Consider the following 24503-nt stretch of genomic DNA (forward strand, 5'->3'; position numbering starts at 1 on the left):
TCCTTAACTTGCCCAGTGGTTCCCCTTCCCAAGCTGGCTGGTCTCCCCAGGGCAGAGCTCTAAGCTGCAGAGTTATAAACCAGCAGGGGCAGGCTTCTGGATGAAAAACTAGGCACCACACATAAAAGCTCAGAGCCGAGCATCCAGATAAGCACAAAACACCCACAAGATACTTGATTGTTGATGTTACACTGATCTCTGTCAGCTCAAAAAAAAACATCACTACAGTTGATTCTGGTTGTTGGTAGTAGTTATGGTTTATAAAGTTGGCTGTGAACACTGAATTAGCAAATCCTGAACCACTGCTCCTAGGGGAACTACAGGATTAGGGTCTCGTGAGCTCGACTTCACATTTTGGCAAATGATCAATACATAATCTTGTTTCATGCATGTTTCTGTTGAAAGAGACATTTATTATGTGTTGCTAATTCATCAGCATTGAACTCACAGCCAACACCACTCACAGCCTGCCTGAACAAAGCTTATCTAACACAATATTTAATATTTTCTCCATAAGGCACATCACAGCCTTCCTGCGCCTAGGAACACTTGACTGCACGTCTGCGCTATGCTTGGGGGACATTTTAAATAGCAGAATCACCAACAGAAAAGCATTAAAATGAAAAAAACATGGCAATAAATAGTCCACAAACTGGTCACTTGTTTACAATATAAGAGCTGAAACAAGAAGGCAGAGCGACTGGGCACGGTGGCTCACACCTGTAATACCAGCACTTTTGGAGGCCCAGGCGGGAGGATCACTTGAGCCCAGGAGTTTGAGATCAGCCTGGGCAACATAGCAAGACTCTGTCTCTACAAAAAAAAATACCAAAATTAGCTGGGTGTGGTAATGTGTGCCTGTAATCCCAGCTACTCAGGAGGCTGAGGTAGGAGGATCCCCTGAGCCTGGGAGGCAGAGGTTGCAGTGAGCCAAGATTGCACCACTATACTCCAGCCCCAGCCTGGGCAACAGAGCGAGATCCTGTCTCAAAAAAAAAAAAGCATAGTGTTGTCTTGTTTGACTTCAGCTGGGAATGTATTGAGTGACTCAAAATTTTCACTGCTCTGCACATGTCCAAGAATGACCAAGAAAGTGCCATGAATATTGCTTTTGGGGTTACAAATAAATGTTAGTATGTAGGTGAATTTGCAAATACAGAATCTGAAAATAATTAGGATTGACTGTACTACCTAAAAAACCTGGTATATATGCCTTATGGTATTCGAAGAAAGCATCTTCTTGACTTTTTTGTAAGAGAATGGAATCCAAAATGAGCTATTAGAAGCTTTAAGGGTAGGAAAAGCACTCAGGCACTAAGGCAGTTAACATGGAGAAGACCCTATAACCACTTGCGCACTGACTGACCTTCCGTCATGCCACACGCAGGTTTCCAAGAAATTATGCTTATGACCAGAATTTTAACAAACTCCTAGAGAGAATCATTTTGAAAAACCAAAATATTTTATAAAGCATATATACTCCCTAAATTTAAGTACTGTAAAATTACACTTGTCATATATCAACTTTGCTTTAAAGTTTGTCTTATCCAAATGAAAAAGGTACAACTTTCAAAAAGGGAAGGTTCTAACCACTGTTCAATTAAATTTGGCCTAAAGCTGCCTCCACAGGTAATGAACTGCACCCTATCTTACTATGTAAACAAGCTGCAACCTAACCTGCAAGTGTATTCTTGGAATAAGTAACTGAGTCTCAGCCAATCACAGCAGCCAAACTTTCAGCCAATACAGGCTGCAAACTGCCAAAACATGTCAAAATAAGGCAAAAGCCAAGCTGTAGCCAGTCAGACTATTTCAGTCTCTCACTTCTGTTTTCTGTCTATAAATACCACCTGCTGGGTATTTATAGACAGAAAATACTGTTGCTGGTTAGAGCTCTCTGAACCTTTACTGGTTCAGATGCTGCCTAATTCATGCATTGTTTCTTTACTCAAATAAATGCTGCTAAATTGAATTTGTCAAAAGTTTTCCTTTTAACACCAGATTCTCTCTCTCATTATAGACAGGTTATATATATAGAGAGAGTGTATTAGAGTGATTACATATACATACCTACGTATGTATGTATATGTAATCATGCTAAATGCTTAATTCTCCTCAAGATTTAGGAACCAGTATCACAGGGCAGAGAGTCCATCACCTTCCTTTTAAAACAAATAAATCAATAAAAAGAATATATGAAATACAGTTGTTACTGTTCTTTTCTGTGAGGAAACTAAATTGGCAAAGGTGAGCAGATATAAAAGGAGAAAGAGCAGGAAATTGTTAAGAAGAAAATCACTGAATATGCAAATGATTCTGAAACTGCCCTTAATGATTTTGGAGTAAATAATCCTTAAGTACAATTAAATAGCATTCAAATATGTCATTTTATCAAAAAAAAAATGTTGTTTAAGGCCAGGGGTGATGTGGGGGAGCCTAAATTATTTTTATTATCCTTCTTAAAAAGATGGAACACCTAGCATACTGTTAGTAGATGAATGATAAATGCTCACCATTTACAGAAAATTTAACCTTGGCAAATTAATAACTTTATATTAATTTCAGTTTAAGTTTAGAAGAATGACAAATTAAAATTAATTCACACTTAGGACTATGACTAAAAGTAAAATGTTAATTGCATTTTAATCTACTCTGGCCTACTTCAAAAGCATAATTTTAACTCTTGGATGGAGAACGAAATTTTCTTCTAAAAATAGATTTCGGTAACAATGAAATATCAAGAGCTGGACATTATAATAAAAAGAAAAAAGGTAACAAGAATTTTCTTTTTTTTTTTTTTTTTTGAGAGTCTCGCTGGAGTCTTGCTCTGTCACCCAGGCTGGAGTGCAGTGATGCGATCTCAGCTCACTGCAACCTCTGCCTCCCATGTTCAAGTGATTCTCCTGCGCAGCCTCCAGAGTAGCTGGGACTACGGGCACACGCTGCCACGCCTGGCTAATTTTTGTAGTTTTAGTAGAGATGGGGTTTCACCATGTTGAGCAGGCTAGTCTCGAACTCCTGATCTTAGGTGATCCGCCCGCCTCAACCTTCCAAAGTGCTGGGATTACAGCTGTGAGCCACCACGCCCAGCCCCAAGAATTTTCTTTTTAGGACAGACTGGAGAAAGGGTGGGAAAAGGATTGGGAGAGGCTGGTTGAAGGTACAGTTGAAATTAAATAGGAGGAATCAGTTCTGGCGTTCTATGGTTAACAGTACATTACAAAATAGCTAGAAGAGAGATTTTTAAATATCCTCACCACAAAGAGATAAATGCATGAGGCAATGGTCACACTAAATACCCTGATTTGCTCATTCTACAACTTATATATGTATTGAAACATCAAATTGTGCTCCCCAAATATGTACAATTACGTGTCAATTAAAGAATCTGCTTTAAATTTTTTCAAAAGCATATTTTTTTAAAATATGAAACTCAGCATTTATAAACTACATTAATGGCAGGGCACGGTAGCTCACGCTTGTAATCCCAGCACTTTGAGAGGCTGAGGAAGGCAGATCACTGACGGATCACTTGAGGTCAGGAGTTCGAGACCAGCCTGGCCAACATGGTGAAACCCCGTCTCTACTAAAAATACAGAAAAATATTAGCCGGGCGTGGTGGCACGCTCCTGTAAGCCCAGCTACTGGGAGGTTGAGGCACGAGAATCGCCTGAACCAGGAGGTGGAGGTTGCAGTGAGACAGGATCGCACCACTGCACTCCAGCCTGGGAGACAGTGTGAGGCTCTGTCTCAAAATATAAAAATTTTTTTTAAAAAACCCTACATTTATAAACTAGGACTATATGAGGGTTAAATAACATTTGAAAACTTCTTGGCATTTTTTTGTTGTTGTTTAGCTGCATAATACAAATGAAAGCACCATTATTCTAGAAGAGTTGGTTAAATCATCTTTCACTGACAGAACTTTTGAGAAAGATATTTTCAACATATTCATTTATAAATGATTTCAAAGTCTTCAACCTCAGCCATTTTTTAGATAGGTCAAAAAAATAAAATCTTCCACCTCTAGGGGTTTAGGTAACACAATAGGTACAAGATAAATTTTAGCTAATCTGCTGACTGGCACATGCTTCTCCATGCTGTAACTGCTTTACTGCATAATGACATTAGCAGCTGACCTTCCCTGAGGAAGAACCATAATCAGTTCCAAATAAATATATCCTTGATTACTGTTCACATCTAGAATACACCACCCACTGACAAATCAACATCTACAATTCCTCAGACCTGCCATTATGACCTTGAATCTGGAGCAAATACACAAAACCATAATTCGTTTTCTCTGCTCAAGATATGCAAGACTCTCCATAAACCATTCTGGACAGTTGAGTTTTCCCAAGGGTTGGAGACTTAACCATTTAGAAAGAATATTTCATACACTTTCTTAAACAAGGTATACTGGGTATAAATTCTATTTTTCTTGATTTGCAACCATCAGTGAGAATATTAATCCTTGTACTGTGTGTTGGGAGACATTTCTCCATGGGTCTCTCACACGTCTGCGTGTCTTAGAAGCAGAGGGGCTGGCTGCTTTCATTCTGAACTATCTTTCAAGGATATGTACATAGCGAACAGCTTAGAAAGACAGAGACAGTATCTCCCACCAGACTGTCCAGTAGCATGAAGACATCTCACTCCAGGGTAAGGCTGGGCAGGTTTGCTTGCAGCCCTTTATAAAGAATTTGATTTACCTAAACCTGGGGTTCTACAGCTGTGACATAAACCCACTGCACATGCAGTAGCAACTGAGCTACTCTGATTGCCCCTGTGGGACCTATAGGGAGGAGGAATGGAATAAACTCCTCCTCTCAGTGGTGGCATTAGATTCTCATAGGAGCGTGAACCCTATTGTGAACTGAGCATATGAGGGATCTAGGTTGCATGCTCCTTATGAGAATCTAATGCCTGATGATCTCAGATGGGACAGTTTCAACCCAAAACCATCCCCCTACCACCCCATCCATGAAAAAACTGTCTTCCATGAAACCGGTCCCTGGTGCCAAAAAGGTTGAGGACTGCTACTCTACAACACCATCCACCGAACAGGATGTAATGGACATTTATAGAACACCCCACTAATGACTGCAAAATACACATACTTTTCAAGTATCCACAACATAGATGCCAAGACGTCCACATCCTGCACCACAGGAAAAAACCATGACGAGTCTGAAGAAGTGAAATTAAACAATGTGTTCTCTGACCACAGTGGAATCAAATTAGAAATCAGAAACAGGAACCTACCAGGAAAGTCTTCAAACACTTGGAAACTAAGCAACAGACTACTAAACAAGCCCTGGACCAAAGACGAAGTCTCAAAGGAAACAAAGGCCAGGTTCGGTGGCTCTCAGTTGTAATCCCAGCACTTTGGGAGGCTGAGGTGGGCAGATCACTTGAGGTCAGGAGTTCCAGACCAGACTAGCCAACATGATGAAACCCCAACTCTACTAAAAATACAAAAATCAGCTGGGCTTGATGGCAGGCACTGTAATCCCAGCTTCTCAGGAGACTGAAGCAGGAGAATCGCTTGAACCCAGGAGGGAGAGGTTGCAGTGAGCTGAGATCACTGTTCTCCAGCCTGGGTGACAGAGCGAGACTCTGTCTCAAAAAAAAAAAAAAAAGGAAACTAAAAATACACTGAACTGAATGAAAGTGGGACACAGTTAAAGCACTGTGAAGAGGAAAATGTATAGCACTGTGAAGAGGAAAATGTATAGCACTGTGAAGAGGAAAATGTATAAATGCATAAATTAAATGAGAAAAAGTCTCAAGTCAATAATCTAAGCTCCCACCTCAAGAACCTAGAAAATCAAGAGCAAAACAAACCCAAAGCAAGCAGAAGGAAAGAAATAATAATGAGTGGAAATCAATACAATTGAAAACAGAAAAACAATAGAAAATCCATGAAAAAAGAGGTGGTTTTTTGAAAAGATTTTTTAAACACTGATGAATCTTGAGCAAGACCAGCTAGGGAAAAAAAAAAGAAGGCACAAATAACCAATATTGGGAATGAAATGGAGGATATCATTACAGGCTCTGCAAATAGCGAAAGGATAATAAGGGAATACTATGAACTAATTACATACATACATTTCACAGCACAGACAAAATGGACCAATTTCTTAAAAAACTAAAACTACCACCACTCACCAATATGAAATAAACAATATGAATAGCCCTATAACTATTAAGGAAATTAAATTCATAATTTAAGAACTCCCAAGAAAGAAATCTCTATAAGAACCTGATGAGGTGCCTGGAAAAAAGGAAGGAAGGAAGGAAGGAGAAAAGAAAAGAAATCTCCAGTCCTAGAAGGTTTCACTAGAGAACTCTACAAAACATTTAAAGAAGAATTAACATCAATTGTACACAACCTCTTTCAGAAAATGGAAAAGGAACATTTCCTAATTCACTTTATGCAGCTAGTTTTTCCACAATAAAGCCAGACAAAGCCATTACTAAAAAAAAGACAACAACAGACCAATATCCCTTATGAATATAGACATGAAAATCCTTAGTAAGACATTAGCAAATAGAATTTAGCAATACATAAAAATAATTATACACCCTGACCAAGTGGTTTTTTCCAGAGAAGCAAGGTTAGTTTAATATTTGAAAAGCAATCAATGTAATCCACCAAATTAACAACCTAAAGAAAAATCACATGATCACATCAAGTGATACAGAAAAGGCACCTGACAAACTTCAATGGAGACTCAACATCCACTGACAATAAGGACTCTCAGAAAAACAAGAAAAGAGGGGAACATCTCAATTTGATAAAGAGCATCTACAAAAAACAAACCAAAAAAAAAAAAAAACTAGAGCTAACGTTAGACTTCATAATGAAAGACTGAATGCTTTCCCCCTAAGATCAGGAACAAGGAAAAATAGCCATTCTCACCATTCTTATTCAACATGCTGCTGGAAGTTCTAGCCAGTGAAACAATGCAAGACAAGGAAATAAAAGGCAAAGAGATGAGAAAGGAAGAAATAAAACTGTCCCTATTTGCAGATAACATGATTATCTACACAGAAAATCCCAAGAATTCTCAAAAAACAAAAAAATCTGGAATTAATGAATTTGGCAAAGTCACAGGATACAAAATAAACATACAAAACCAACTATATTTCCAAATAGTAGCAATGAACACATGGAACACAATATACAATATAAATACAAATACAAAATACAATAACATTCACAATCACTCAAAAACAAGTATTTAGGTGTAAATCTAACAAAACATGCACAATAATATTGAAATTAGGCCAATTAATAACACTGCAATGGCCTCTAAGTTTTTAAGTGACAGGAGGAGTTGTTAGTCTCTCATTTTAAATCAAAAGTTAGAAATGATTAAGCTTAGTGAGGAAGGCATGTCAAAAGCCAAGATAGGTTGAATGCTAGGCCCCTTGCACCAAACAGCCAAGTTGTGAATACAAAGGAAAAGTTATTGAGGAAATTAAAATGCTATTACAGTGAACACACAAATGGTAAGAAGGCAAAACAGATGGCTCACGCCTGTAATCCCATCATTTTGGGAGGCCTAGGTGGGTGGATCACCTGAGGTCAGGAGTTCAAGACCAGCCTGACCAACATGGAGGAACCCCTGTCCCTACTAAAAATACAAAAATTAGCTGGGAGTCGTGGTGTGCATCTGTAATCCCAGCTACTCAGAAGGCTGAGGCAGGAGAATCACTTGAATCCGGGAGGTGCAGATTGCAGTGAGCCGAAACTGCACCACTGCACTCCAGCCTGGGTGACAGAGGGAGACTCTGTCTCAAAAAAAAAAAAAAAAAAAAGGCAAAACAGCCTGTCGCTGATATGGAGAAAGTCTGAGTGCTCTGGATAGAAGGCCAGACCACCCACAACATTTCCTTAAGCCAAAGCCTAATCCAGAGGAAGGCCCTAACACTCTTCAATTCTATGAAGGCTAAGAGAGGTGAGAAAGCTATATAAGAAGAGTGAAGCTAGCAGAGGTTGGTTCATGATGTTTAAGGAAAGAAGCAGTCTCCATAACAAAAAAAGTGCAAAATGAAGCCTCAGGTGCTGATGTAGAAGCTGCACCAAGTTATCCTGAAGATCTAGCTAAGATTGATGAAGCTGGCTACACTAAACAACAGATTTTCAACACAGACAAAACAGCCTTATATTGGAAGATGAAGCCATCTAGGATCTGCATAGCTAGGGAGAAGTCAACGCCTGGTTTTAAAGCTTCAAAGGACAGGCTGACTGTGGGTAAGGGTTAAGGCAGCTGGTGACTTTCAGTTGAAGCCAACGCTCACTGATCATTGTGAAAATCTTAGGGCCCTTAAGAATTATGTTAAATCTACTCTACCTGTGCTGTATAAGCGGAACAACAAAGTCTGCATGACAGTGCATCTGTTTACAGCATCGTTTATTAAATATTTTAAGCCCACTGTTGAGACCTAATCCTCAGGAAAAAAAAGATTCCTTTCAAAATATTACTGCTCATTGACAATGCACCTGGCCACCCGAGTGCTCTCATGGACATGGACAAGGAGATTCATGTTTTCATGCCTGCTACCACAATATGCATTCTGAAGCTTATGGATCAAGAAGCAATTTCAACTTTCATGTCTTATTATTTAAGAAAATACATCTTGTAAGACTACTGCTACCGTAGATAGTGATTCCTCAGATGGATATGGGCAAAATAATACGAAAACCTTCTGGAAAGGATTCACCATTCTAAAGGCCATTAAAAATATTCATGATTCAGGAGGAGATCAAAATAGCAACATTAATAGGACTTTGGAAGGACTCCAACCTTCATGGATGACTTTGAGGAGTTCAAGACTTCAGTGGAGGAAGTAACAGCAAATGTGGTGGAAATAGCAAGACAACTAGAACTAGAAGTGAAGCCTTAAGATGGGACTGAACTGCTGCAATCTCATAATAAAATGCCAGCGGATTAGGAGTTACTTCTTATGAATGAGCAAAGAAAGCAGTTTCTTGAGACAGAATCTACTCCTGGTGAAAATGCTCTCCCTGTCGCCTAGGCTGGAGTGCTGTGTTGAAACGACAAAAAAAGCGTTTAGAATATTGCATAAACTTGTAAAGCAGCAGCATGGTTTGAGAGAATTGACTCCAATTTTGAAAGTTCTGCTATTGATAAAATGCTGTCAAACAGCATCTCATGTTACAGAGAAGTCTTTCTTGAAAGGAAGAGTCAATCAATACAACAAACATCATTGTTAGCTTATTTTAACAAATTGCTACAGCCACCCCAACCTTCAGCAACCACCGCACCAATCAGTTAGCAGCCATCAACATTGAGGCAAGACCCTCGACCAGCAAAAGGATCATGACTCGTTGAAGTCAGGTGATAGTTAGCATTTTTTAGCAATCAAGTATCTTTAATTCAGATATGTACATTTGAGGCCAGGCACGGTGGCTCATGCCTGTAATCCCAACACTTTGGGAGGCCGAGGCAGGTGATCACCTGAGGTCAGGAGTTTGACCAGCCTGGCCAACATGGTGAAACCCCGTCTCTACTAAAAATATAAAATTAGCCAGGTGTGGTGGCACATGCCTGCAATCCCAGCTATTCAGGAGGCTGGGGCAGGAGAATCGCTTGAACCTGGGAGGCAGAAGTTGCAGTGAGCTGAGACTGCACCATTGCACTCCAGCCTGGGCAACGAGAGCAAAACTCTGTCTCAAAAAAAAAAAAAAAAAAAAAAAGATATATACACCTGTTTGACATAATGCTATTGCACACTTTATAACAGACTATACGTATAGTGTAAACATAACTTGTATATGCACTGGAAAACCAAAAAACTGTGACTCATTTTGCTGTGATCATCATTTTATGTCAGTGGTCTGTGACCAAACCTGCAATATCTCTGAGGTATGCCTGTAGACAAGTGATTGGCAGCAGCTTAATTCATAATAGCCAAAAAGTGGAAACAATAGCAATAGCCTTCAAAGAGTGAATGGTTAAACTCTTTCATCTATATGATGGAATAGTACTCAGGGATAAAAAAGAACAAAACTATCATTCACTCAACAAGCTAGATGAATCACCACAGAATTATTCTGAGTGAAGAAAAAACAATACAAAAAGGCTATATACCACAATTTCATGATATATAACATTATTGAAATGATAAAATTATAGAAATAGAGAAGAAAGTTGTGGTTGCCAGGGGCTAAGGAGGAGCTAGGTAGTGGTTGTGGCCACAAGGCAGTATTAGGAATCTTTGATGATGGAAATATTGTTACCTTACTTAAATGTATCAATGTCAATGTATTGATTGTGTTATGTATTCTATATGGTTTTGCAAGATGTTACCACTGGGAGAAACTAGGTAAGATGTACAAGAGATCTCTCTAGGCTACAGTAGTCCTCACTTACAGTTCCACTTTTGATGGTTTGAACCCAAAATGGGTTTCGTGGGTTTGTTACCCACGGCCAACCACTGTCCAAAAATATTAAATGAAAAATTCCAGAAGTAAACACTCACACTTTTATTACAATATATGGTGATAACTGTTCAATTTTATTATTATTTTGTTACTCTCTTACTGTGCCTAATTTAAAACTCAAATTTTATTATAGATATGTATGTACAGTCAGCCCTCCATATCTGTGGGTTCTGCCTTTGCAGACTCAACCAACTTCAGGTGAAAATATCCTGGGAAGAAAACGATAAAAAAATACGGATACACACACAAAAAAATTGTAAAATACAGTATCACAACTATTTATATAGCATTTACATTGTATCTAGTATTATAAGTAACCTAGAGATTATTTAAAGTATACAGAAGAATGTGCATAAGTTACATGCAAATACATCATTTTATATAAGGGACTTGAGCATCCATGGATTTTTGGCATCCATAGGAGGTCATGGAACCAATCCCCCACAGATATTGACAGACAACCATGTAGGAAAAAACATATATAGGGTTCAGGCCTCCATTGGGGGGGTCTTGGAATTTAGCCTCTGAGGATAAGGAGGGACTACTATATTTTTTATAACCGCACGTCAATCTATATAGTTAGCTCAAAATAGTGTTTTTTTGAACAACATTGCCCTTTGAAGGAATTATTAGCCAAAGCATGTCAGCAGATCTTTTTTTCTTTGAGGCAGGGTCTCTCCCTGTTGCCTAGGCTGGAGTGTAGTGGCAGGATTATACCTCACTGCAGCCTTGTCACCAGATTTTAATACAGTGGCGTTTTGAACAATAGGAGTCCAACTTCTATTTTTTTCCACCTCTGCCATCCCTGAGAAAGACCAACCCTTCCTCTTCCTCCTCAGCCTACTCAGTGTGAAGATGACAAGTCTGAAGACCTTTATGATCTACTTCCACTTACTGAACAGTAAATAATTTTCTCTTCCTTGTGATTCTAGTAACATTCTTTTCTAGTTTACTTTTAAAAATACAGTAAATAATACATATAACATATAAAATGTGTTAATCAACTGTTTGTTATCAGTAAGACTTCGAATCAACAGTAGGCTATTAATAGTTAAGTTTTAGGGTAGTCAAAAGTTACACACAGATTTTTGACTGTGTGGAAGGTCAGTGCCCCTAACCCCTGTGTTGTTCAAGGGTCAGCTGTATTTCTAATTTTCTTGTTGACAGGCAGAAGAGTTTACTAAGAAAATTCACCTCTAACAATCTAGTTTCAAGGCATTTTCCAGGTGGTTTGTCATGTGCAGCTAGGAGCTAAATAGGCAAAGATGTAGAAGACAATGTAGATTTAGAAGAGAATATATAACACATTTTTATTAAAGTATGAAGTTGAACAAGAACTCAGTACTGAACTCAAGATATTTTCATTATTCCTGCCCATAATCATGAATGCTTCTAAACAGAGCGCAGGCAGCACCTGACCAGTGTATGACCAACTCATGGAGAAGCAATTCTAAAGGAAGTCCTGTCTTCCTTACTTCCAGCCAGCCTAGGATACTTCCCTATCAGAATCTTCCACTCCCAAGCCATCTCTGCAGCTCACCTCAGCCCTAACCACCCCCAGCCCAAGTTGGCTAGGCAAAAAGAAGAGGAAGAAGAAAATGGTAAACATGTGCATGCCACACCTGTTTACTCTTCTCTCCTGCCCGCCTTGCCACAATTCCTCTGAAGACGAACACCCAAAGGAAGGAGAGGGTAGGAATGGCACAGGACTTGCTAACACCTCCAGCTGCCAGGCCTCCTCTCACCAGTTATGAGGAAAGCCAGGCTTCATTCTTACCCCACCCCCACCAACTCTCACCTCCCTCAGCCTTCACAAAAAAACTCCACCCATACCTCCCCAATCCTATCCAGAAGCATTTCCAAAGTCCCTTCTTCCCTTTAAAACTAGTCTCCTGGGCCAGGCGACATGGCTCACGCCTGTAATCTCAGCACTTTGGGAGGCCGAGACGGGCGGATCACGAGGTCAGGAGATCGAGACCAACCTGGCTAACACAGTGAAACCCCGTCTCTACCCAAAATACAAAAAATTAGCCGGGCGTGGTGGCGGGCACCCATAGTCCCAGCTACTCGGGAGGCTGAGGCAGGAGAATGGCGTGAACCCGGGAGGCGGAGCTTGCAGTGAGCCGAGATCGCACCACTACACTCCAGCCTGGGCGACAGAGCAAGACTCTGTCTCAAAAAAAAAAAAGGCAAAAAAAAAAAACTAGTCTCCTCCAGCTCTGCTGAAGCCCTGCCACAGGAGTCACATTCCAAGTAACCGGAAAGAAAATACAGAATGAATGTAATCCATCATTTGTGGATACCCTAACCCTCGCCTTATAGTAACTCTAGTTACTAGAGCAACTAGGAAGCTCTCCTGAAATCGTAGTTCATTTTCTGGTGATTAGGTTACTTTCAGAAATTAGAGGTTTCATTTATACTAAGAAACTTAATATGAAACTACTATTCCCACCTAATGAGCAAGAAATGCTTTCACTTATTAATATATCTTGCCAGGGCGAGGCACAGTGGCTTAGGCCTGTAATCCCAGCATCCTGGGAGGTCGAGGCAGAGGGATCACTTGAGCTCAGGAGTTCAAGACCAACCCAGGCAACATGGCAAAAACCCATCTCTACAAAAAATTAGCCAGGCATGGTGGCACACACCTGTAGTCCCAGCTACTCGGGAGGCTGAGGTGGGAGAATCATCTGAGCCCAGGAAGTCAAGGCTGCAGTGAGCCATGATTGTGCCACTGCACTCCAGCCTGGGTAATGGAGTGAGACCCTGTCTCAAAAAAATAGAGAGAGAGAGAGAGACAGACAGACAGACAGACAGACAGAGATAGGAGAAAGGGGGAGGGAGAGAGAGGTAGGGCAGAGAGAGAGGGAGAGGAGAGAGGAGAGAGAAGAGAGAAAGAGAGAGAGATCTTGCCCATCTGGCTTTATTCTGAGACCCACCGAGTGAAGCCTGTGGCAGACAAGAGTGGTTTCTATGAAAAAAATATAAATAAATAATAAATAAAAAGTGGTATTCCCAGATGTGAAGGCAAACTACAACAATGACAATGGCCTCTCTATTGATTGGCAGGGTCAATTTGGCTGACAAGTTGGCTGGTCAGGTTTCTCATCTCCAGGTGCTCTGCTTCCAAAGCTGGGAGTGGTACAAAGAGATTACATGGTCCTTGCACCAGAGTTCATCTACTTTACTCAACCCCATAGTTTTACATTCAGTTCTAACAAATTTAGATGGTTTCCAAGTTCAGTTAATCAGACAGAATAAATCTTCATAGAGAGAAAAACACTTTATTCATTCAACAACTATTTGTTGAGTGCCTAAGAAGTGCCAGACACTTGGAGATTCAGCAGTGACTGATACACAATGACCCCATCTCCTCCTGGCTTATGTGTGTTTGGTGGGAGGCAGAGGCAGAGGGTTAGACAGTAGAAAAGTAAATTAAAATTAAAATAATTGTAAATAAAATAATTACAACATGTTACGGTGGCTAACAAGGACATAAACAGAGCTGAGGATCTTGCATTCTCAGAATTATGAAAAGCAATATTCAATCAAGGCCAGGCGCAGTGGCTCACACCTGTACTCCCACCACGTTAGGAGGCCAAAGTGGGAGAATCCCTTGAGCCCAGGAGATCAAGACCAACAACATAGCAAGACCCCATCTCTACAAAAAATAAAAATAAAAATAAAAAAATTAGCCAGGCATGGTGGTTGTGCCCACATTTCCAGCTACTCGGGAGGCTAAGGTGGGAGGATCGCTTGAGGCCTGGAGTTCAAGGCTGCAGAGAGCTGAGATTGTGCCACTGAACTACAGCCTAGGTAAAAGAGTGAGACCACATCACACGCGAAAATAATTAAAAAACAAAAACTAAAAAACTAAAAGCAACTGATCTTTGAGAAGTGATAACTGCATTCTCAAAGTACCTAATCTCAACAATACCCTAACTTAAAACCTGCTGACTAGGAGATGTATTTGACTGCAAATCTGGCCCACACAAGCAATAATCTGAGTTTCCATCAAGGAAGCTGTAAGCACCAAGTAGAGCAAAAACAAATCCAGGCCTCAAATGGAAAAAGCAGCTCTGAATTGTGATTTTCGAAGAAACCTGCATTTCTTACACTTCAGTGTACTTTCCCCATATTTAACTCCAAGATTTTTGTTAATTTGTTTGGTTTTCCTTTCTCAAACAAAATTATGCTCAGACTGAAAACCCTAGATTTGTTCCCTATTGCATCTTCATTTCTTCCCAAACATTCCATAAAACGTGACCTACATTAAGTTAGCAAGTTAAGTCTGAAAGCGTCTACCTTCCCTGGGGAGGGGGAAGGTGTAGGCAGGGCAGAGATTTGTAGTCCAGCCCTCTTGCCACAAATTATGAATTAGAGAGGAATGACTTTGCTTTTTTAATGATCTCCAGAGAATTTTCCATCATTTCCCTCTCTTCACCCAGCTCCTTTGCAACCACTGCCAGAGAAGTCTTCCTTTAGCTTCTTAAACATCGATCCTAAAACACTTCCAGACACCTGTGCTGCTCCTTTCAGTTCCCATGGAGATTAGGCTGTGTAACAATCTCGCAAAGACGTTCCCCTCCGTCTCCTCATCCTCTTTTCAAACCCTTTTACGATTTCCCATCTCACTCAGCATGACAGTCAAAGTCCCTGTGATGGCCAACTTCTGCATCACCTAGCCAGTCTGCCACCGCCAAAACTCTCCAGCCTCATCTTTCTACTCTTCCCCTGGTTCCTTGCCCACGCCTTTACACTTGTTCTCTGCTTGGAATCTTCCCTCCCCTCCTTGAGGAACTTTCTCAAATGTCACCTTCCCTCAATACTCCCCCTCCTCCATTTAAAACTATAAACTTCCAACTCTCTAAGCCCCTAAAGTACTCTATATTTAACTTATTGTATAAACTACTGTCCCTACTTGTAAGTTCCAAGATTGCAGGGATTCACCCGCTTTGTTCACTGCTGTCTGCCAAGGTCTAGAACAGTGCAAGTTACCCAACAGGAGTTCAATAAACAGCCATTCATTTAACAAATATTTGCTGAGCACTTCGTCCCGTCCAAGTTTGTTAAATCAAGACAAATAAGACACCGTCCCTGCCTTTAACGCACCAGATGGAGAAATGCACCACAGACATAAATGTGCAATACAGGCCTGACACTACGGCCACAAGCAAGTCAAAGAACGTGCCAAAAGTTCAGAGGAAGAAGCCTCGGCTTCGCCTTTCGGGAGACCAGTCCAGCTTTCCACCATCACGCTGCTCATCAGGGACCATCTCCGGGGGTCTCCTCTAGACCCCAAGGGAGGAGCGGGTCCCGCCCGCCATTCCCAGGTCTCAGAGTTTACTTGTCCAGAGATGCAACTTCCGGCCTCTTCAGGCCGGGCAAGATTTAAGGAAAGAAAAGAAACATAAGGACCTCCGTTCTTCGGTCTCCGTCCCCTCCCCTTCCCCCGCGTGCCGTCCCCACAACGGGCCAGGACTGAACCCAACTCTCGACCAACTCCCGGCAGCAAAACTAAGCACCCTACTTCCGTTGTCCCCACCTGTTCCCGGCGTCCCCTTCGGCTACTCCCGGCGTTTGCGCAAGCGGTCCCACGTGGGCTCGGGCGGGGCTAGCGCCGCGGCGGGGGCTGGGCACGCCCCTAGCGCATAGCTGGCTTCTGATTGGCTTTCCGGTGCTCGCCCGAGCAGGGTTGGGGCGAGTGGACCGCGCCTCTAAAGGCGCTTGCCAGTGCAATCTGGGCGATCGCTTCCTGGTCCTCGCCTCCTCCGCTGTCTCCCTGGAGTTCTTGCAAGTCGGCCAGGATGTCTCAGGTACAGCGCGTGCACAGCCAGGCTGCGAAGGTGCAGCGGGCGGGAGGCCCGTTGGGGGCTCAGCCGGCTGCCAGAAGCTCTCGGGCTCTTTCCTTCCGTGCCCCTCACTTGCTCATGGGCCCATGCCTAGCCCTGATTCGTTGGACAGAGCCTTGTGAGCGGGATTTTCCGTTTGGGGATTTCTAAATCTGCTGCCCACCCCGCAACTGCCGGAAAGTTGCCCATGGGGTGGACTTCGCTGTGTAGCGGGAGAGGGGTGGGAGTCGAGGGTGCTTGATGGAGAGATGGGGGAAGGGGTTGCACGGATTGGAGGAGCGAGGAGACTCAGTCCCCATCCCGAAGCACAGGGCAGGACGTCGCGGCGGAGTGGGGAAGCGAGGAGTCCGTGGCCGAGAGCTTGGAGGTCAGGGGAAGTACGGGGCCGGCTGCTCAGAGTGCGGGACGAGGAGAATCGCGGCCCGGGGAGAGGTGACCCAGGGGCCCCTCCCTTCTCTCCAGTGTAGACCCTTGTCTGAGACCGAGCTATGTGGGGCGACCTCTGGCTCCTCCCGCCTGCCTCTGCCAATCCGGGCACTGGGACAGAGGTCGGTGTTGAACGCGCGGGCCCCAGGGGGAGGGAGGGGACCAACGGGCTCCGGCGCTGACACCGCGGCACTCATGCCCTGTCCCCTTTCAGCTGTTTCCAGCATACTGTGCCCCGTCTGTCCTCAGGCCAGGGCTTCGCTGCAGCCCCGGCCACTCCCTAGTGCCTGGCCCGGTGGTGGCCAGGCAGTTGGCCGCGCTGCTTCTCCCGCAGAGGGGACCCCCACTGGGGGCGAAGGCTTGGCCTGCCCTCTTCACTGCTGTATTTCCAGACCTGATGCCTGCGTTTGTGAGAGCTCTGGATATATGGTTTTCGATTGAATGAGTGAACTGGAGGGGCTTCCCCTTCTTGTGTTGCTGAATCTTTCTAGCTGCCCTGTTGGGGCAGGGAGGGGCAGACACACTTCAGGGGCTGCATTGCCCGAAGGGTGCCACCTTTCCCACCTCTCCATCCCCGTAACTGGGCTGTCATCAGGCCACAGTAGGATTCTTACCCTCTCCCACCCAGAGGAGGCCCTCAATCCTCTCCTCTCCCTTCCATTTAGGCTGAGTTTGAGAAAGCTGCAGAGGAGGTTAGGCACCTTAAGACCAAGCCATCGGATGAGGAGATGCTGTTCATCTATGGCCACTACAAACAAGCAACTGTGGGCGACATAAATACAGGTATGCAGAGCGGGGGTTGGAAGGGCATCTGCTCATCAAAGCAGGCTCAGCAGCTCAGACTGGAAGTCCCTGGGAACTTCACTCTCAAACTGCCTGAGGCCCTACTCTTCAGGTGGGGTATGGTGATGGTTCCTGAGGTGGAAAAGACCATGTTCCGGATTCTCAGTGTCTCCAGTAGTAACAGAATTCAAATCCTGGTTTTAGAAGGTCTTTACTGGTTATCACCAGCAGCTACTCTCTACTAGGGAAGAAGCAAAGGCTGCAGCTTGGAAAAGACTTGCTGAAGGCTCTCAGCTCAGTAGTATCATTGTTGAGCCGTTCAGCTTCTGCCCTAGATGGGCAGGATCAAAGTTGGAGCACTTTTTGGAGCACTTGACAGCCTGGCCAAGCCTGATGTCAGGAGCAGAGAAGCACCTGGTTTCTTGGGCTAGGTCAGAGCATTTCGCTAACAAGTCTGTGCCTTCCTGATGATAACTTTTTCCCTGCCCAGAAATCTTGGTGCAGATTTTGAGGCTGTGCTTTGGACTGTCATGTTCTGTAATAACATCTTTCCTGCCTTGGGCAGGTTTCATTCTGTCCCTAAGTCCCTGAAACATGGGTGGATACTGAGGCAACAGCGCAGTGCATTCTGTGCAAGGACTCAGGGTTATCATGGCAGCACAGAAGGGAGGTCTCCCCTGCCCCTGCTGAGGAAGAAGGCGAGCATGGTCCCTATTTCCGCAGTAGCTGGGGTGGAAGATGGAGCAGGTGGGCTGGCTGCCAACCAGCTGGAAGCAGGAAATAGTACCCAGAATGACAGATCACAGGCAGTACCATATCAAACCCTGGGGTTCACATGGAGCACTTAGTTGAAGAAGGTCTTATGGCGAAGGTGAGTTTTACAGTGAGTTCGTAAACTCTGTCCTTCCAGGGAGGGGAAGGAAAGGTGAAGTGGGGGAGGCCAGAGGTGCCAAGATGCTTTTCTGACAAACAGTATTTTCACAGAGACTGGCCTGTGCCCGTACTAGAGTTACCGATTTTCACATGAGTCTAGATAGACTGGCATAGGAATCTATCACTTACTGATCAAAGAGGTGTCATCGGCTCTCTCTAGGGCTGTACTATACAGCCCTATTACACGATTATAAAACATGATAGTCCAAACACGATAGTTTAGTATAATAGCCAGTAGCCACATATGACTATATAAATTTTAACTGAGGCTGGGCGCTATGGCTCATGCCTGTAATCCCAGCACTTTGGGAGGCCGAAGCAAGCGAATCATGAGGTCAGGAGTTTGAGACCAACCTGGCTAACGTAGTGAAACCCCATCTCTACTAAAAATACAAAAATTAGCTGGGCATGGTGGCATATGCCTGTAGTCCCAGCTACTTGGGAGGCTGAGGCAGGAGAATCGCTTGAACCTGGGAGGTAGAGGTTGTGGTGAGCCGAGGTCGCACCACTGCACTCCAGCCTGGGCAACAGAACGAGACTCTGTCTCTAAAAAAAAAAATTTTAACTGAAAATAGTTAAATAAAATCAAGTTTAGTCTTCATTCACAGGAACCACATTTCAGATGCCCAGTAGTCATTTCAGGTACTTGGTGTGGCAAGTGGCTCCTGAATTGGACATTGCAAATATACATGTACATTTCCATTTCCACCGCTTGGAGAGAGCTGTCGAGGAGTGCTATTCTAGGATCCTGATGATGACCACAAGGGCAGTTTGTTTCAGCTGTCCCTGGGAACACTTCCCTGAAAGCGCTCAGGGACATTTTCTCAGGCACAGTGCTCCAGGCTACGGACTCTGATTGTTCCCTGTGGCTTTGGGGCTGGGCATCGTAGTGAAATAGGACAACAGGGAGATGGTGAGTGTGTTTCCCAACTGCAGATGACAACAGGTCTATAAGCATAAAGTCATCATATAACTTAAAGAAACCTTACCCTCGGTGAAATCTCCCACAGATCAGCAAGAAATAGACTAACAATTCGGTAGAAAAATGGGGCTAGGATATAAACAGTTCATAGGAAAGGACACCTGATATCATTAATGATTAGGGAGAGAAATTGGGTAGCTAACAGCAGGGGTGAGAGAGAAACTTTATAGTATTTTCCTCTGTAGCTTTTGAATTTTAAGACATATGAATGGATTTTTTTTTTAATTGTAATTAAAGTATAATTTTTTTAAAAGAGAAATTTTGGAGTCATTTAACTTGTAAGACAAAGGCTATCTTGTAATAAGAATACTGTTCTTCCTATTTGCTCTAGATTTTAAGTTTGGATTGGCATACATTGGTTTTCTTAGGGCAGAACCCACTCTACTAGACCTATTTAACCCCATGACAGAGCCTAGAAGGAACAGGTGTAATAGAAGATGGCATTTATGGCAAGAAGGTTGATCAAGTTCTCCATTAGAATTTGAACCAGATCTAATGCCTTTTCTTCCCTTGTTTAAGAACGGCCCGGGATGTTGGACTTCACGGGCAAGGCCAAGTGGGATGCCTGGAATGAGCTGAAAGGTAATTGTTCTAATCAATTTCTCTCATTTGTGAAACCCAGTAGTGAAAGAGTCTTCATTATGAAGTGTAAGGGAAGAGGAGAGAAAACAAAGTCAATGGGGCACGTGTGGGAAACCAGCCTGACCTGTGCCAGAATGGGAAAAAACCGGGCCACCTACTTTTTCTCCTAACACCATTTATGCCTTTTCTAAAAGCACCATCTCTGAGCAGGAGCATCATCTAGAGAGGAGGGGCTGGGAACCAGGCCACTGAAAAATAGTTTGGGAAATGATGTAGTTGGCGTAGGCTTTGGATGTGTTCAGAATAAGGGGTGGTTTCCTGTCTGCAACTCCCTCTCCCCTACAAGGCCAGGCGGTGACCCCCTAACCCCAGTGGCCCTCCCCAGTTCCTTCCTAGCCAGAAGGATACATAAAAGAAGGGAATGAGCTAATGCATGGCCTGCCGCTGGCATCGTAGGCTCAGTGAATGGAGCCATTATATGCTAAGCACCAGCAGCCAAGAAGTATCCAAGCTCGTACTTAATCACGTGCCACCTGCAGCAGCAAGACCCAAGAGTTGGCACCAAAGCTCCTGGCAGCATTAGTGTTCCTGCTGGCTAGTTTCTGAATAAGCCCTCTGTCCTTCTGCGAATGAGAAACCCTTGAATTCAGAAAGGGCCACAATACAATAAACACACTCCTAGGATCTGCAAGTAACTGGGAAGGGAATGCCCATCTGCCTGCCCATTTTCATGGGACATTTCCATACCATCCTCAGGCCCCATGTACTCTCCAGTGCTTCAGAACAAGCTCTGAGTTCCAAAGGGTCTCTATCCTTCACCATAGAATCCAGGAAACTGGGTGTCACTGTCTCTGAGGGATACATTCAGTGTCCTTTCTACTGCAGCAAGAAGACAAAGATTTGTCTCATTCCCCTCCAAGAAGCAGCCACTTTTGGTCAGAGTTCCTGAAACTTTTCTCATAGCCTCTCTCTGGGGAGAAGAGGGTGCCTGGCTTTGCTTTTTCACTGCCAGCTTAACAGCTCTGGAAGATAGGAGCCCAAAACAGAGACACTGAAAAGGCCAAAGCCAATATCAGCCACGAGAGTTAGCAGGACCAGTAAAGTCACCACGATGACAGTTTCCTACCTGTCTGGAGGGTGGCACCTCTCTCCCAAGGCTCACAATGGCCATTCCCCCAGGACAGGTGGGGGACGCAGGTGTCCAGCAGATGGGCGACAGATCTTGGCCAGCCCCACCAGGCTTTCTGAGCACAGTTGCTTATGGAGCATTCACTTCGGGCCAGGTTCTGTGGATACTGTCTCCTGTAATTAGTAGAATCTCAACTTTATTAAGTGAGAAACTGAGCCTAGGAGAGTTACAGCAGAGCTGCCTGGGGCTCTGGAGGCTGCTTGTTTCCTACCATGCTACCTCCCTGACACATAATCCTGTCGATTCCTTACAGGGACTTCCAAGGAAGATGCCATGAAAGCTTACATCAACAAAGTAGAAGAGCTAAAGAAAAAATACGGGATATGAGAGACTGGATTTGGTTACTGTGCCATGTGTTTATCCTAAACTGAGACAATGCCTTGTTTTTTTCTAATACCGTGGATGGTGGGAATTCGGGAAAATAACCAGTTAAACCAGCTACTCAAGGCTGCTCACCATACGGCTCTAACAGATTAGGGGCTAAAACGATTACTGACTTTCCTTGAGTAGTTTTTATCTGAAATCAATTAAAAGTGTATTTGTTACTTTAAATAACTTTAGTGATCTGAGTTCTTGAGATCATTTACTCTGTCTGACCTCAGCCTTGCTTCCTTTTTCTAAAGACCTCTGGTAGTGCTTCAGCTGCATACCTGGTAGAGTATAAGGTGGGCAGTCCTGCCCTGCACCCTGGCCTAAGGTGTGCTGGCCCTTTGTGGGGAGGAGGAGGATGGTAGAAGTGACCTTTCTCTCTTCCTTCCCAGTTCAGCCACGCCGAGGAAGATGAGGCAGGCTGGCTGAGACCACAGTCTGCAAGTACTTCTGACGGGGACGTTCCTGCCCCAGGACCTGTGTGAGGCAGGGTTTACAGTGCTTGAGGTTTGTCTGAGGCCCAGCTGGTCCCTGATTCCAGAGTGCATGAACCAGAGTGGAAGCCCCCATCAAGAATGGAGTGTGAACCTGACAGGAGGCGTTCCCCAAGTCCCAGGGGAAGCCACAGACAGCTGTGTGGGCAACAGTCAGTGGGCAAGGGGTGTGTCCTCTGCAAGGAGCAGAACCCTGGGAGCTTGCAGAGAAGAAAGGCTGGAGCTTGACTCTGGAGGACGTAGGAGGTAGATTGTTGAAAAGTAATAATGAAGAAAAGGAGATAGCTCTCTAGACCCTTCTTGCCAGATGTTCCCTTCCAGCTCTTGGGTTTACAATCCCGCTGCCCTTTGCAGTGGGGATCATACCTCAATATTGTGTAACGGGGATTACTGTGCCCATTATGTGAGTGAGGAAATTAAGGCTCAGAGGTGATTTAACTGGATCCAAGCCCAGGGCTCACTGGCCAGGAGGGCCCTGTTTGTCCCCCTCCACCATGTTCCCTCTCATGGCCCCTGGCTGCCACTTAGTCTGCACCTCTGCTGTGTTGCAGTGAGTGACATCTGTCTCTCTGGGCTAGCATAAGGTGCTGGTGTGAAATCTGTCCCTTGGGCTGTGCAGCTCACTCCGGAAGAGTGGCTTAGACAAGGAGGTCCCACTTCCAAAGCTGGAGTGAGGCACAGATGAGAGAGACTTTTAGGCACCTCAGGTGACTAGGTCATAGCCGGTTTGGGAGATGCCCTCCCCGCTCACTAGAAAGTACTTGTACTGGTTTCTCAGAAAGCAGTGTTTGTGCAGTTCTGAGAGCACCAGCAGCCTGGGGCTGCACCTGCTCCTGTGGCTCCCACAGGAGTCCTTGTACCACCCAGGGCTGGCTCACAGGGTGTCACTTGGGGACAAATTATCAGGGAAACCCACCCCCAATATTTCAACATAGGCTGTTTCTATTTTCCATAAGTTTCAGCCGGCTGAGAAATAAAGAGAAAGAGTACAAAGAGAGGAATTTTACAGCTGGGCCGCCAGGGGTGACGTGACATATCAGTAGGACCGTGATGCCCACCTGAGCCTCAAACCAGCAAGTTTTTATTAAGGGTTTCAAAAGGGGAGGGGGTGTAAAACAGGGAGTAGGTACAAAGATCACATGCTTCAAAAGGCAAAAAGCAGAACTACTAATAAGGGTCTAACAAAGATGACATGCTTCTGAGGGAACAGGACAAAGGGAAAAAGCAGAACTACTGATAAGGGTCCAACAAAGATCACAAGGCAAAGGGCAAAAGCAGAACTAATGATAAGGGTCTATGTTCACTGGTGCACATATTGTCTTGATAAACATCTTAAACAACAGAAAACAGGGTTCAAGAGCAGACAACCAGTCTGACCACAAATTTACCAGGGCAGAGTTTTTCCCCACCCTAGTAAGCCTGAGGGTACTGCAGGAGACCAGGGTGTATCTCAGTCCTTATCTCAACTGCATAAGACAGACATTCCCAGAGCAGTTGTTTATAGACCTCCCCCCAGGAATGCATTCCTTTCCCAGGGTATTAATATTAATATTCCTTGCTAGGAAAAGAATTTAGTGATATCTCTCTTACTTGCACATCCGTTTATAGGCTCTCTGCAAGAAGAAAAATATGGCTCTGTTCGCCTGACCCCACAGGCAGTCAGACCTTATGGTTGTCTTCCCTTGTTCCCCAAAAATCGCTGTTATTCTATTCTTTTTCAAGGTGCACTGATTTCATATTGTTCAAACACATGTTTTACAATCAATTTGTACAGTTAACACAATTATCACAGTGGTCCTGAGGTGACGTACATCCTCAGCTTACGAAGATAACAGGATTAAGAGATTAAAGTAAAGACAGGCATAAGAAATCACAACAGTATTATTTGGGAACTGATAAATATCCATGAAATCTTCACCATTTATGTTCCTCTGCTGCGGCTCTAGCCGGTCCCTCCTTTCGGGGTCCCTGACTTCCCACAACATCTCTCCCTTTCTTTTTATATAAATGTGCCATGGCGATGAAGTCTTGTTCGTTTTCTCGGTTTTGACGCACGATTCTTTGACTGGTCCAGCACACTAAAAACAAGCCAATTAAACAGAGAAACATGATTGCAAAATTTACTACAGTGGAGCCCCCAATAGACTTAATCCAAGTCGTGGGGTTTAATCCAGAAAGACTTCCTGCCACCTGATCTAACACCTCAGCTCCAGGCACAATGGATAAACGAGCTTGAGAGGCTTCAAAAATTTGTTTATTTAATTTAGTTATGTCCAAGGATAAATTATCTTCCCTACCCAGCAGGTGTCCTTTGACCATTTCCCATGAATGATCAGTCTTGTTGTAGGAATATGGTGTGATACAAAGATCAGAAGTATTCCAATCAAATAGCATTTGCATGCGATGTTTGAGACTCATT

General features: G+C 43.9%; 2 protein-coding genes across 21 annotated transcripts in view, besides 5 other annotated features; one reads left to right on the plus strand and one right to left on the minus strand.

The window, feature by feature from the left end:
* C2orf76 (chromosome 2 open reading frame 76) overlaps positions 1 to 16381 on the minus strand; it is an 86022-nt gene extending 69641 nt beyond the window's left edge. For 6 of the 9 annotated variants that reach the window (XR_007069611.1, XR_007069609.1, XR_001738623.3 and 3 more), the window contains exon 1: positions 16020 to 16064. The gene's annotated coding sequence lies outside the window, so the exon portion shown is untranslated. Of the gene's footprint in view, positions 1 to 15586 lie in introns of all 9 variants that reach the window. The other 3 variants (NM_001322330.2, NM_001017927.4, NM_001322329.2) reach the window with 2 other exon arrangements.
* Positions 1583 to 1632: an enhancer, noted in NCBI's record as "active region_16448". NCBI's record gives its function as "activates an Ori minimal core promoter by ATAC-STARR-seq in GM12878 lymphoblastoid cells {active_cell/tissue: GM12878}" and the evidence as "EXISTENCE:reporter gene assay evidence [ECO:0000049][PMID:35858748]".
* Positions 15638 to 15897: an enhancer, noted in NCBI's record as "active region_16449". NCBI's record gives its function as "activates an Ori minimal core promoter by ATAC-STARR-seq in GM12878 lymphoblastoid cells {active_cell/tissue: GM12878}" and the evidence as "EXISTENCE:reporter gene assay evidence [ECO:0000049][PMID:35858748]".
* Positions 16018 to 16167: a silencer, noted in NCBI's record as "silent region_11904". NCBI's record gives its function as "represses an Ori minimal core promoter by ATAC-STARR-seq in GM12878 lymphoblastoid cells {active_cell/tissue: GM12878}" and the evidence as "EXISTENCE:reporter gene assay evidence [ECO:0000049][PMID:35858748]".
* On the plus strand, positions 16207 to 21773 carry DBI (diazepam binding inhibitor, acyl-CoA binding protein). Of its 12 annotated transcripts, none has more exons than NM_001282635.3 (5): positions 16207 to 16444; positions 16789 to 16874; positions 17418 to 17535; positions 19970 to 20032; positions 21475 to 21773. In NM_001282635.3, the coding sequence occupies exons 2-5, from the start codon at positions 16815 to 16817 to the stop codon at positions 21546 to 21548; spliced, it is 315 nt and encodes a 104-aa protein (NP_001269564.1). In that variant the 5' UTR covers positions 16207 to 16444; positions 16789 to 16814; the 3' UTR covers positions 21549 to 21773. The 12 variants fall into 12 exon arrangements, with proteins under 12 accessions (NP_001269564.1, NP_001269562.1, NP_065438.1 ...); NM_001282633.3 differs by having other exon boundaries at positions 16207 to 16320; NM_020548.9 differs by having other exon boundaries at positions 16207 to 16320; positions 16794 to 16874.
* Positions 16268 to 16597: an enhancer, noted in NCBI's record as "active region_16450". NCBI's record gives its function as "activates an Ori minimal core promoter by ATAC-STARR-seq in GM12878 lymphoblastoid cells {active_cell/tissue: GM12878}" and the evidence as "EXISTENCE:reporter gene assay evidence [ECO:0000049][PMID:35858748]".
* Positions 17128 to 17327: an enhancer, noted in NCBI's record as "active region_16451". NCBI's record gives its function as "activates an Ori minimal core promoter by ATAC-STARR-seq in GM12878 lymphoblastoid cells {active_cell/tissue: GM12878}" and the evidence as "EXISTENCE:reporter gene assay evidence [ECO:0000049][PMID:35858748]".
* Positions 21774 to 24503: the final 2730 nt, after the last annotated feature.

Source organism: Homo sapiens, chromosome 2 (assembly GCF_000001405.40).
Source record: "Homo sapiens chromosome 2, GRCh38.p14 Primary Assembly".
In the NCBI taxonomy this organism is placed as follows: Eukaryota; Metazoa; Chordata; class Mammalia; order Primates; family Hominidae; genus Homo; species Homo sapiens.

Coding starts and splice junctions, on each gene's coding strand:
- DBI (NM_001178017.3), top strand. CDS start 16,567: ATGGAGAGATGGGGGAAGGGGTTGCACGGATTGGAGGAGCGAGGAGAC. Junction 16,759..17,417: donor GAATCGCGGCCCGGGGAGAG/GTGACCCAGGGG, acceptor CCTTCCATTTAG/GCTGAGTTTGAGAAAGCTGC. Junction 20,033..21,474: donor TGCCTGGAATGAGCTGAAAG/GTAATTGTTCTA, acceptor GATTCCTTACAG/GGACTTCCAAGGAAGATGCC.